The sequence below is a fragment of the Homo sapiens genome, chromosome 3, assembly GCF_000001405.40.
Source record: "Homo sapiens chromosome 3, GRCh38.p14 Primary Assembly".
Lineage (NCBI taxonomy): Eukaryota > Metazoa > Chordata > Mammalia > Primates > Hominidae > Homo > Homo sapiens.
This window is the reverse complement of record NC_000003.12, coordinates 123,860,107-123,873,709: the sequence shown is the minus strand read 5'-3', so window position 1 is coordinate 123,873,709 and position 13,603 is coordinate 123,860,107. Positions and strand designations below refer to the sequence as shown.

The 13,603-nt window shown below is 42.3% G+C and overlaps 1 protein-coding gene across 9 annotated transcripts in view, besides 1 other annotated feature; it reads left to right on the top strand.

The window, feature by feature from the left end:
* MYLK (myosin light chain kinase) overlaps positions 1–13,603 on the top strand; it is a 274,284-nt gene that overhangs the window by 10,623 nt on the left and 250,058 nt on the right. The window lies entirely within an intron of this gene.
* Positions 12,321–12,521: a silencer, noted in NCBI's record as "peak4802 fragment used in MPRA reporter construct". NCBI's record gives its function as "represses an SCP1 promoter by STARR-seq MPRAs in K562 erythroleukemia cells {active_cell/tissue: K562}" and the evidence as "EXISTENCE:reporter gene assay evidence [ECO:0000049][PMID:32103011]".

Genomic DNA, 13,603 nt, shown 5'->3' with positions numbered 1-13,603 from the left:
TAAAAGGCTGGGATATAGAATCAATTTTCAGCCCTCATCTGCTCTTAACTATTTCCCTGAGCTTTTTAATTATTTTTAAGCAACTGATTTTTGTTTGTTGACCTTATATCTTTTGACTTTTCTAAACTGACTTATTAGTTCTAGTAGCTTTTTTTTCTAGATTCTTTGAGATTTTCATCATAGATAATCATGTCATCTCTGAATAAAGATAGTTTTATTTATTCAATTCCAATTTCTTTGCCTTTATTTTACTTGTTTTATTGTGCTGGTTAAGATTTCCAGTATAATGTTAAACAGGAGTGGTGAAAACAGACATCATTGCCTTGTTTCCAATCTTAGGAGGCAGGTGTTGAGTCTTCTATCATCTTGTATGATATTAGTCATAGGTTTTTTGTAGATACTTTTTATCAGGTTGAGGAAGTTTCCTTTTAATTTGCTTAGATTTTCTTTGTCTTTACCGTGAATGAATAATGATTTGTTCAGGCGCTTTTTACGGATCTGTTGAGATGATCATATTTTTTCTTTTGTCCATGAGTTGGCAAACTTTTTCACAAAGGGCAGTGTGAGAAAAATAATAAATATATATTTGGTCTTTATTTTCAGTTTCTGGCATAGAGCTTCTAAAACCCTGGGAGTTTCCTGAGTGAGAGTGGTGAGAGGAATGTCTTTGGTTATTCATAATAAGTCCCTTTCAACCATACCTGAGTTTATGCTGGTGAGGTGACACTTGGTGAGCCCCTATATAGCTTCAGGATGGGGGCTGATTGTCAGAGGAAACAACCATGTAATTAGAAGGTTGGAATTTTCAGCACACCCTGCCCTAACATCTGGGGAGGGGAGAAGGGCTGAAAACTGAGTAAATCATTAATGGCCAGTGATTTAATCAGTGATTCCTATGTAACGGAACCTCCATAAAAACTCCTAATCAAAGGGGTTTGGAGAGCTTTGGAATTGACTAAGCACACTGAGATGCTGGCAAGGTGCTGGCAATGCCTGGAGAGGGCATGGAAGTTCCCTGCTCCTTTTCACATACCTTGTCCTATGTATCTCTTCCATTTGGCTGTTCCTAGATTGTATCCTGTAAAATAAACTGGCAAATATAAGGAAAGAGGGCTCTCAAGTTCTGTAAACCAGTCTAACAAATTATCAAACCCAAGAAGGGGGTCATGGGAATCCCTAACTTATCGTCGGTTGGTCAGAAATAAGAGGGGCCCAGGACTTGTGATCTGAAATGGGGGCAGTCTTGGGGACTGAGCCCTTAAGCTGTAGGATCTAACACTAAGGTTAGATCTAACTCAAGGTTGATAGTGTTAGCATTGAATTGGATTGTAAGACGCAGCTGGTGTCTAGAGAGAGATTCAGTTGGTATGAGGAAAAAAACTCCACATAGCTGGGTGTCAGAAGTGTTCTGGGAGTTAAAAACAGGTCATAATAGCCAGATAACAAATATTTTAGGCTTTGTGGGCCATAAGGTACTTTATTCAACTCTCTACTCAACTCTCATAAATCTCCTCTACTCAGTGATTCAGCTCTGCCATTGCAGCATGAAAGCGGCCACAGACAATAGATGGATAAGTGAATGGATGTGGCTGTGTTCCAGGAAGCTGTATTTACAAAAACAGGCTGCAGGTTGGATTTGGCCTGCTGGTCATAGTTTTCCCAGTCATAGTTTGCTGATCCTTGCTTTAGTCTATTGATATGTGGAATTACAGTAATTGATTTTCAAATGTTTAACCAGCCTTACATTCCCAGAATAAACTCCACTTGTGGTATATTATTAATCTTTTTATATATTGCTGGATTTGGTTTACTCAATTTCATTGAAGTTTTTTGTGTCTATATTCATGAAGGATATTGATCCGATGTCTTTGTCTGGTTTTGGTGTCAGGGTATATTGGTAGCCTTATGAGTTGGAAAGTGTTCCTTCTTCTATTTTCTGGAAGAGTTTGCATAAAACTGTTGTTATTTATTCCTGAAAGTTTTAGTAGAATTTGCCAGTGACACCTGAGCCTGAAGTTGTTTTGCGGCATGATTTTCAACAGCAAATTAAATTATTTAATAAATATAGGACTGTCCAGGTTATTTGTTTCTTCTTGAGTGATTTTCGGTAGTTTGTATCTTTGGGATAATTTGTCTATTTAATCTAAAAGACAGAATATTTATAAATGTTCATAATATTAACTTATTATCCTTTTAATTTCTTTAGGAATTGTAGTAATGTCTCATTTTCTATTCCTGATATTTATAGTTTGTATCTTCTCTTTTGCTCTTGGTCAATCTGGCTAGCAGTTTGTGAATTTTATTGGTTCTTTCAAAGAACCAGGTGTTTGTTGGTTTGAGTTTTCTCAATGTTTTTTGTTTCCAGATTCATTGGTTTTTCTTTATCATATATTCTGCTTGTTTTGGGTTCAGTTGCTCTTCCTTTTCTAGTTTGCTAAAGTGAATGCTTAGATCATTGATTTGAGACCTTTCTTCTTTTCTGATAATTTCTAGGGTTCTCCTTTTCTGGGACAGTTGGGTTGGGAAAGGGGACATGGAGGTGTAGAACCAGTTTTCCTACCTCTAAGCATTTATTAGGAGAGCTTTAGTAAAAGCCTTACCAGCAGGGAGCCCTGAGGCTTCTGCTTGGGGGTGGGACCAATGGGAAGGAGGCGAACGGTCACACCATGGACTGTTTCTTTCATGGGAAGCAGTGGCCTGGTCTTCCCACCCTGACAGTCTAGGACCCTAATGCTCATCTGCCTCCCAATATGGTCTGTAGAAAGGAGAGGAAAGGGAGTTGGAGTTCCTGCAGTTTTGTTGGATGAAAGGGTTCTCTCCTAATAGTTTAGACCAGGAGCTGGTGGACTTTTTCTGTAAAGAGGCAGATACAGATAGAAAATATTTTCAACTTTGCAGGCTATACCATCTCTGTCACAGGTATTCATCTCTGCCATTGGAGCACGGAAGGAGCTGTAGATAACATGTAAATGAATGGGCATGGATGTGTTTCAGTAAACCTGGTTTACAAAAATAGACAACAAGCTGGATTTGGCCCATGGGCCATAGTTTGCCTACACCTACCTGCTTTAGTCTACTAATGTGGTGAATTACATTGATTGATTTTCAACTGTTCCAGACAAGTTGTATTCTTGAGATAAATTCCACTTGGTTTAGAGCATCTGGTCTGTGCTGGCCCTGTCTTTGTTTCTCAGCTTGCATTGTCACTGAGCCATGAGCTTCTCAGGGGTAGGGCCACAATAGGGCCATCTCTGATCTCCTGTCAGGTATATGGTAGATGGCTAGTGAACCTTTGTGGCTGGGTGGAAACACCTGTGCCCTTCAGTGGTACTCTGCTGCAGCTTCCTTTTTGGTCCCCCCAGGAGCCTAGAAGAAACGGAGGTTGGGTGGAGGAGTTGGGCTCAAGTGCTGTCACTGCAGGCCCCAGGCTGATCTTTCATTTTGAGACTCTTTTAGAAATGTGACTCATGTTTGGTCTGTGAGGCATTGCTTTCTAATTACTCTCTGTCCTTTTTCTGGGGGATGTGGTTGGCACCATAGCTGGCAGGCTCAGGAATTCAGGCCTCCAGGTGCCAGCCCAGTGCTGGTGTTCTAAAAGGGCTTGATTGACCCCTTTCCAGGACCATGGCTTTCTAGATCCTTTTATAGAAGAGTGTGCCTGTGTGTGGGAAGGGGCAGAGCAGGAGGGTCCATGCCCTTCTGGCTCCTAAGTGACCTTCATGCCTGTGGAGTGTGGACTAGATAGAGCCATGTGACAAGGCATTACAAATGGATTTTGCACAGGTAGATTTCATCGTCCATCTTAGCCAATTTTCCTAATTGATTGGGAGGGCTGGGTGGGCAGTTGATGGGAAGGTCCTGGAGCTAACAGACCTGGGTTTCAATCCCAGCTCAAGAACTTATTAGATGGGTGAATCTGGGCACATTATTTAACTACTCTGAACTTCAGTTCACTCCCTTATAAAATGGAGATGTAACAACTTCCCAGAATTGTTGTGAGGGGTATGTTAAGTCCCTCACTTTCTCTCCTGGGCTGACAGAGGTGAGCAGAGTGGTGGACAACAGAAGTGCAAAACGACTTGAAAACATGGGAGAATCCATTTGCAGACTGGGATATGGAGAGGGTGTGCTGGTCCCCTTTTCCTGCCTAGAATATTTCAGAGCTGAAAGATGGGGAGGGGTGATTCAAGGGCCAAGCCTCTGATTCTGCTCTGGAGCAAGACCACCCTAGGTCTGGATGATGCCTTAGGTTGTTTGGGCCTCTTGTCTTTCATTGTTCAGCCAGGTTCACTGGGATAGGAACCTGGAGCTGTGCCAGTCCTGGTTTAGAGGAATTAGTTGCATAATTGCCTTGGATTTAATGGGAAAATTTAAGGCCTCTTGGACCTGTTGATAATAATAACCCTCCTTATGACTACCCAGTGTGGGAGGAGTGAGGAGAGTCACCTCCAACTGCCTTCAGAACACCACCACCTTTTCATGTGTTCTGAGGTTTCTGCTTTCCTCTTGACAAGGTTCAAGACCCTTTTGCACACGTGTTAGGGGATGAGGACCCTGCTTTCCTGCAGAGTCTGTGAGTTAAGGGCACTACAGCTCCTAGGCCGCCCTGCTCACCCCAGACTGAGGCCTCATTGCCTTCTGGGACAATCAGACCAAGGCTTTTACTGGAGAGCTCATAAAACTTGTTAAGGATCAAGAACTAGATAAAGTTCCAATTTTGTCACCCTGAGATAATCTTGTATTATTGTACCTGAAAACAGTATTGAAACACAGATCTCATTGTGACACCCCTGGTTAAAAACAATGTTAATCCCCTGCTACCTAAAAGACAAAATTTCAGCTATTCAACGTGGCATGTAAAATAGGCTGCAATTAGGCCTGCCACATAAAATATTCAGTTATTATTTTGCTATAAATACTTCTCATTTGGATAATGTTTTACAGTTTATTTGTACATTTTGCATTTAATCTTTGTCAATCTTATGATATTGTTCTTGTTCCCACTTTGTAGTTGATGGCCCAAAGTTTAGGGAAGTTAAAAGGAATTTGTCCAAGATCAGGTGGCCACAATAAAGTCAAACTAAGCACAGGGTATAAATTAGTGCTCACTTGCTACTTCCTCACTGTATGACCTTGAACAAGTTTATTTATCTATAAAGAATCAGGGATAATACAACAAACTTGTAAAGTTTTTGTGAGGATTAGATGAGAGAATCCAAGCAAAGTGCTTGGGGGAATGCCTGGCACATAGTAAGTGCTCAGAAAATGTTGGGTATTATTACGATACTCTATTTTAATTGTTCCACAATTAATGTTTTCAGTTTTTAATTCCACTATTATAAGTAACACTGTTATAATGATCTTTGTCCAAATAGTTTATTTTTTCTGTTGTATTATTTCCTTGGATTATATTCCAAGAAAAGCATTGCTAGGTCAAAAGATACGATCCTCTTTTTTTGCCTTTGTTCCATATTGCCAACTAGCCCTTTAGAAGGATGGTTCCCATTTAAAAGGCTGCTACTAGACCCATGAGAGTGAACTCTCTCCCACTGGTGGTACTTCTGTGCAACCTCTCAGCCCATCAGAGGGCATATACCAGTCATTTATCAGTCATTGAGGATTATAATTATCACCTTTCAAAAAGACCAACAGATCCTAGACTGGTTGGAGCCAAACTTTATAAACTAGGTTGTGCCTACAGCAAGACATAGGACCCGGCTAATCAGCAAACTGTACTAAAAACTCTAGGAATGGCTGACCTCTCAACTCACTTTCTGTAGGGCTCTGTGGGAGTCTTTGCATGTACACAGCAGGTAGATAAGAAGGAGTGGTGTTGGGGGAGGCAGGAGTTGCTTATGAGCTGTGGACCTGAGGACTGTAGGGAGGAAGACTGTATGGGAACCATGTGTGGCTTCAGACTTTTTATGTAGGAGAGTGTATGCATTTGTTTGGGTTGTGTAACAAAGTACCACAGCCAGGTGGCTCAAAACAATGGAAATTCATTTTCTCACAGCTCCAGAGGCTGGAAGTCTGAAATCAGGGGTTCAAACAGAGTCAAGCTTTCCTCTGAAGGTTCTGGGAGGATCCTTCCTTGACTCTTCTGGCTTCTAGTGGCTGCCAGCAGTCCTTGGCATTCCTTGGGTGCATGTGTATCACTCCAGTCTCTGCATCCATCTTCACATGGACTTCTCCCCTCTGTGTCAGTGTATGTTCACATGATGTCCTCCTCTCTGTGTGTCTGCGTCCAATGCATCCAAATTTCCTCCTGGTTTTTTTTTTTTTTTTTTTGGATACTAGTCATTGGATTAAATCCCATCCTAATTCAGTATGACTTCATCTTAACCTGATTATATCTGCAAATACCCTATTTCCAAACCAGGCCACATTCACAGGTACCAGAGGTTAGGACTTCAATAAGATTTTTGGGGGGACACACTTCAACCCATGACAGATGGATTGGGAAGAGAAAATGGAACATGTCCATTTTTCATATCACAGACTACACCGTGGATGGGGCTGTTGGTGGAGAAAATTATGGACAGTGGTAGTGTCACTGGTGGGAATGCTGGACAGTTGTCTGGGGCCAGTGCTGCTTCTGTTCTTGGCCTCCCCAGCCCCACTTACCCTAAGGATTTGTCACAAAACTAGTCACTGATAAGTATTAGGTGCTTCTAGCTGGGATGATGCAGCCATAGCAGAAAGAGCTTAGCCACCGAGGGAAAGGGGTGTTCTAGGAGCCAGTGGGGAGTCATAGAAATAACGGGACTGGGCAGACATGCAGATCTCAGGTTAAGTCTCAGGCTACCTGGAACACCATGGCCTCAGTTTCCCCATTGAAGGGTGAGGAGGGAGGGACTGCATAGCTTCTGACGTCCCTTTCTGTTTGGCATTATATAATTCTAACAGGAGAGGTAACATTTTAGAGACACCCAAGCTCCTTGACTCTAAGGGTTGTCCTGAGGTCTGTCTGGGTGACGAGGTGTGAGCAGCTGATATGGGTGGGTACTGGGGAGGGGACAATGTGGTATTTTCCATCCCAGGTCTTTCCAACAAGACTTTATTCAAGTCACCTCTCCATGAGGCCTTTCCTGGCCTCTCTAAAATTTCAACCTCATCCTGATATTTCATGTCCCCTCTTTCAGTTTTAATTTTTCTCCTTATACTTATCCCCTATCCAACATGGTTTACATTTTATGTATTTTCCTCACTAATTGTCTGTTTTTCCCACTAAACAGTAAGCTCCTTGAGGGCAAGGATTTTTATCCAATTCTAAAATAATGCCTATCACATACCAGGCACTCCATACGTATTTGTTGAATAAATGAAGATGTGGTAAACTTGATAAATTGGGTGAAAATTTAAAGGGGGTGTACCAGTTATATTCTTTGAAAGGTCTCAATCCTCCCTGGCTCCAGCCCCCTAGCCAAGACTGCCCAGGGTCCTGCCATAAGTAGCACCTATTTCTGCAGGGTTTGTTCCAGTCATCAATTGCTGGGAGAAAACTCTCCCAAACAGTGGCATAAGACAACAATCATTTTGTTATGCTCTGGGGTTCTGTGGGTCAGGAATTTGAACAGGACACAGTGGGAATGGCTTGTGAAGACCTGAAAAGCTGAGGTGACTCAAACAGCTAGGGGCTTGGATCATTTGGAGGCTTCTTCACTTACCACCTGGCTTCTAGACTGAGACAACTTGAAGGCTGGGCTCAGCTGGGATACCTGGAGCCAGAGTGCCTACATATGGCCTCTCCATGTGGCTTGGGCTTCCTCACAGCATGGTGGCTGGGTTTCTGGAGCAAGTGTTCCCAGAAGGAGCATTCCATGAGAGCCAGGTGAAGACTCCCTGGTCTTTTATTACCTGGCCTCAGAAGTCACATAGTGTTGCTTTTTGCCGTACTCTGTTGATCAAAGCAGCCATAAGCCTGCACCTTGGTAGGAGGAGTGTCAAAGATTTTGAGACCATGTTTTAAAACTGCCACAAGAATCTTACCACTTTCTCACCGGTCTCAATCTAAAGTTAACCTGAAGTAAAAATCTGCCACCTTCAGATCAGGACTTATGGTGAATTATACCTGTTCTCTACCTCACTCTTCACTAATGGAGCTTCTTCAGGACAGAGTCTGCCATGTTTGTTTTTTGAAGCACCTAGCACATTATCTGGCACACAATAAGTACTAAGCAAGTTAGCAAGCAAGTGAATGAATGCACGAACACAGGGAATGGGTGTTTTCTGTGGCTGGCTTAGCACTGCTAAGTAGCTACAGGAAGACTTGAAACTCCTGTCTATTAAGGCCAAAGTTTTCTAACCAGTTTCCATTCATATTCTTCACTGCTGAAAGCTGTGGGTTAGGAATAGATTCCTGTGGAAGAGACATGAGTATGGAGATAGAAGTTGTATGGTATGTTAGGGAATACTGGTAATCTGGTTTGATGATAGCTAATAATTTCTGTATTTTCCTAGGACAATGGCAGAATAAGGCTAGAATGTAAGGGCCTTGTTACAGGACACTGAGTATGGATATTATTCATTAATGAAGAGTCATCAAATATTGTTGAGCAGCAGAGTACATGTAATAGGAGCTGTGAACTAGGAAGATTGACTTGCCAGTGACATTCAAACCAGATTGGAGTAGGGAACCCCACAGATAGGCAAAACAGAGATTTGAAATCCAGGTATGTAACCAGGGCCTGAACCAAGCTAGAAACTGCAGGAAAGCCAGCAAGGGGAGGGATGTGAGTGATTGTGAGGTTAGCAGGTGTTTGGGCCCATGTGAGAGGTGACAAAAAAGAGAATGTAAAAGATGATGCAACAATCACATATATGTAGAGATGGAGTCTGTCACTCAAGCTAGAGTGCAGTGGTTGCAGTCTCGAACTCCTGGGCTCAAACGATCCTCCTGCTTTTAGCTTCCCGAGTAGCTGGAGCTACAGGCACATGCCACCGTGCCTGGCTAATTTTTTTACTTTTTGTAAAGACAGGATCTCACTATGTTGCCCAGGCTGGTCTCAAGCTCCTGGCCTCAAGCAATCCTCCTGTCTCAGCCTCCCAAAGCACCAGGAACACTCTTACTTTGTAGGGACTAATTTCTATAATTTTGTTATAAAAATTTTCAAGTATACAGCAAAGTTTAAACACATGTATGGTGAATACATATATTCCCTCCACCTAGATTCTAAAGTTAACATTTTCCTGTATTTGTTTTATCACCTATCTGTCCATCCTTCCATCGTCAATCAGTCCATCTTGTTTTTGTGATATGTTTAAGTCACAGACATTAGGAAATTGTACATTCCCCTAAATACTTAAGCATGCATACCATTACCTTGAGTTGAATATTGTTTACGTTATTTTTTCTTTTGAGGTAAAACTTATTTATAGTGAAATGAACAAATCTTAAGCATACCATTGGATGACTTTGGACAAAAGCATGCACCTGTGAAACCCAAACCCCTTTCAAGATTTGGACATTACCATCATCCTACAGAATTCCTTTGTATTTCTTTCCAATTTCTGTCCCCACCCTCCAGATGCAACCATTATTCTAATATTTAAGGCACAGATTTGTTTTGTCTCTCCTAGAACTTCACATAAATGAAATTGTATGGTATATATTCTTTGGCTTAATGTTTCTTTCATTTGGCCTGTTTTTGAGATTTATCCATGTTGTTTTGTGTATCAGTCCGTTCCTTTTAATTGCTAAAGAGTATTTTGTTTATGGCTATACCACAGTTTACTTATCCCATTTCCAGTTTTTGGAAAAAAAGTTGTTTCCAGTTTGGCTATTATGAATAAAGCTGCTATGAATATTTTTGTATAGGTCTTTTTGGGTAGACATATGTTTTCATTTCTCTTGGGTAAATATCTAGGAGTGGAATTGCTAGGTCATAAGATGAGTCTATGTTTAGTTTTGTAAGAAACTGCCAAAGTGTCTGTTTCCACATTTATACACCTATATTTCCAATGTATCAGAATCTAGTTGCTTCACATCGTCATCAACATTTGGTATTGTCAGTCTTTTTAATTCTAGTCATTCTTGTGGATACTGCTATGGCAGTATCCTATTATAGTTGTAATTTGCATTTCCCTAATAATTAAGGATATTAAGCGCTATTATGTGCCTATTGGCCATTTATGTATCTTTCTTTTTGAAATATTATTCAAGTATTTTGCCCATTTAAAAATTTGAATTGTCTTTTTATTGTTGAGTTGTAGGAATTTTTTATTCTGAATACCAGTTCTTTATCAGATACGTGATTTGCAAACATGTTTTTCTAATTTGTAGCTTGCCTATTCATTTTCTTTCTTAGAGCAGAAGTTTTACCTTTTTTTTTTTTTTTTTTTGGCAAGGCTATTTTTTTTTCTGTGTCCAAAGAAACTTTTACCACCCCCAAAATTACCAAGATAATCACCATTTTCTCATCTAGAAGCTTTATAACTATAGTTTTTATGTTTAGGTTTGTCATCCATCTCAAATTAATTTTTGTGTATAGTGTGAAGTAGGGATCAAGATTTCTTTTTTGCCCCTGTGGATATCCGTTGTTCTAGCCCCATTTGTTGCAAAAACACCTTCCTTTTTGTTAGGTACTGTTTTTATTCTCTTGCAGAGGAAGAAACTGAGACAGAGCTAGGTTAAGTAACCACACCTGGCAGAGACAGATCCAGGATTTGAACCCAGGCAGTCTGGATGCAGAGCCCGTATTTAAACCACTGTGTTATAATAACCCTTCTTACGTGGATGACAGGTTTTCAACGTGAGTGCAGGCAGCTCAGTGTAAAGCCCTGGTAGGGAATTCAGGAAGCAGGGGAGTTCAGTTTGGGATTGAGCTGGGGAGCCCATGGGATACCTGAGTGGGCACAGTGGGGAGAAGATAGAAAAAAGACGGAAAAACTTGGAAGAACAAGTAGGGGAGAAGGGAGGTGGGGGCTGCTGAAAGGGGATGTTATTAAGCCTAACCTGGATTTCACCTTTTTTATTTAGCATCAGGGGATTGGTTCTCTGTCATATCAATCCTGGTCTAGAAGAGTCATGAAATAGGCAAGATACAGCTAGTCTAAATCTTTTGAATTTAGGTAGTAAGGGTGACATGAGCAAGAGTCATAAAGCCAGAGAAGATAAATAGATTAAGTAGAGGTAGGGAAAGTCAGCAAGCATCATGTTTAGGATGCCTACTCTCTGTTAGACAGACCTGGCTTCAGGTCTTCATCCAGGCCTTGCAGCTCACTCTGTGATCTCAGGCAAGTTACTTCATTTCTGTGCCTCATTTTTCCTCATCTGTAAAACAGAGATAACACCAACCTCACTGAATTAAAATAGACAATGGATTTAAGGCACTTAGAATAGTAGCTCAATAATGGTGTGTCAGCTATTTTAAGATTCAGTATTTTAAGAATGTGGTCAAGGCCCAGAAATATAGTAGACCCTCAGGAAAACTTGCTGAATACACAGATGAACTACAGGGACACAGGATTCTCCAGTTTAAATTGTGTAACTGCATAGTTTTAGCACAGATGGCCATGAAGTTACAGTAAGAAGCTAGGACCATGAGCTGAGCTGGTCTCTAAATACTCAAGGTGGTGCAGGAGGCAGCCCAGACTGGTGACGCTGAGCCAGCATGGCCTTAGAGCCTTCCTTAGGAAGGGCACTGACTGCTGGCTCGGATTCCAATGGAGCCCCCACGGGCCTGGAGCTCTGGAGTGGGCAGGGAAGGTGCTTCTGCTCTGAGTGAACAGAGAGCTCCCTGACAGCAAGCATGAGGATACTCCTGCCTGCGGAAGGGGTGACACCTCAAGTGTATTGTTGCCCAGATGGCCCACAGAAACCCATGTCTATCCCTGGTTTTGATGACTATGTCCTGATCTAGCCCCACTTCTAGAAAAGCCCATTTAAATGGAGTTTGTAGGATTGACATTTTGAGTCCAGTCCACTCTCCATATAGGCAGGAAGCAGAGTCAATTAAGTACTTGTCAAGTACCTGCTGGGGTACCTGTTGAGACTCTGTGCTGGATTAGGACACTTGTTTTCCTGCCCACCGGGAGCTCAATGTAGTTAGTGAATGACACACTTAAAGAGGTATGTGGTATATGCCAGATGTAAATGGCCAAAGACAGCTTGGGCAGAGTCATATGGATAAATGCTTTCTACAAGGGTTGTTACACTAATGCTAGACATTCAGGCCCTCTGGCGTCTACTCCAGCTCCAGTACCTTCTCCCTTCCAACAGTAATAACTGATATTTGAGTGTTCACTGTGAGGGCAGCACTTTAGAGCTGTTAACTAAGGTTCTCCTTATGATGACCCCATGAGGGGAGCTCTGTTAGTACCTCTGTATTTAAGATGAGGGATCTGAAGGACAGACACCTACAGGCTTCTACAGGCGCATTGCTGGTGAGCGATGGTGCTGGGTGTGAACCCAGCTGTCTCGCTGCAGAGCTTATCTTGGTAGGCCCTCGGGGCTGCTTGGCTAGTTTCTTTTTCAAATATAGAGCAGGAAGGAGGATGATTGACATTTTCTTTCATGATCTCAACATGCAATCACACAGTGTCCAATCAGTTTTTTTTTTTTGTTTTTTGTTTTTTTTTTGAGACAGGGTCTCGCTCTATCGCCCAGGCTAGAGTGCAGTGGTGCCATCTCAGCTAACTGCAGGCTCCGCCTCCCGGGTTCACTCCTTTCTCCTACCTCAGCCTCCCAAGTAGCTGAGACCACAGGCGCCCGCCACCATGCCCGGCTAATTTTTTGTATTTTTAGTAGAGACGGGGTTTCACCGTTTTAGCCAGGATGGTCTCAATCTCCTGACTTCGTGATCCTCCCTCCTCAGCTTTCCAAAGTGCTGGGATTACAGGTGTAAGCCACTGTGCCCGGCCTGTGTCTAACCAGTTTTTACCTAAATATGGCCCCCTATGCATTTTACTCTGACACTGGCTCAGCTAAAATATTCTTAATTTCAGAAGAAGAAGCAACAAGACAGAACTACTGTGTTTATTGACCAATTTAGGCTGTCTCAGGGCACAGCTCTGAGGATGGGAGCACACTGAGTACTTTAACGATCCACGGCAAGGTGACAGCATCTTGGGCTCAGACACAAGAATTATTCTCAGACAGGGCTTTTTTCAGTGCCATAAATTTAAGCAGCTGGAATTCTTTTCCATCCTATTCAACCTCCTGAAGTGAAGAATTTTGCCTTTTATTGGGAAATCTGCATTTCATTGTATAGCTAGAACACTATGTCCTTGGCTCCCTGATCCTCTAGAGAAGGTGGGTCTTTATTTTATTCCAGGTTCTGGGTGTCGTTAGGCTCAAATACCAAAAAGTCTCTTTCAGCATGAGAAGCTAGAGACACAGCAGTGCCCTGATCAAAGAATTCGAGCAGCCAGCTGTCCACCCCAGTGCAACGCAGGCCTTGTACACAGGGTGTAGGGAAGAACTGCAGGTCTAGGAGACAGTGATGCTGGTTGCTCAGCATCATGGCTCCCCCTACACCTCTGGTCTGGAGCCGTGTGCCGGGCCTGCCAGGGCGTGAGCACTGCTCTGCTGTCTGCAGAATCAAAGGAGGGTATTTTAACCAGCATAACAGAAGGCATCATCCCAGTCACTGATGTCCTTCAA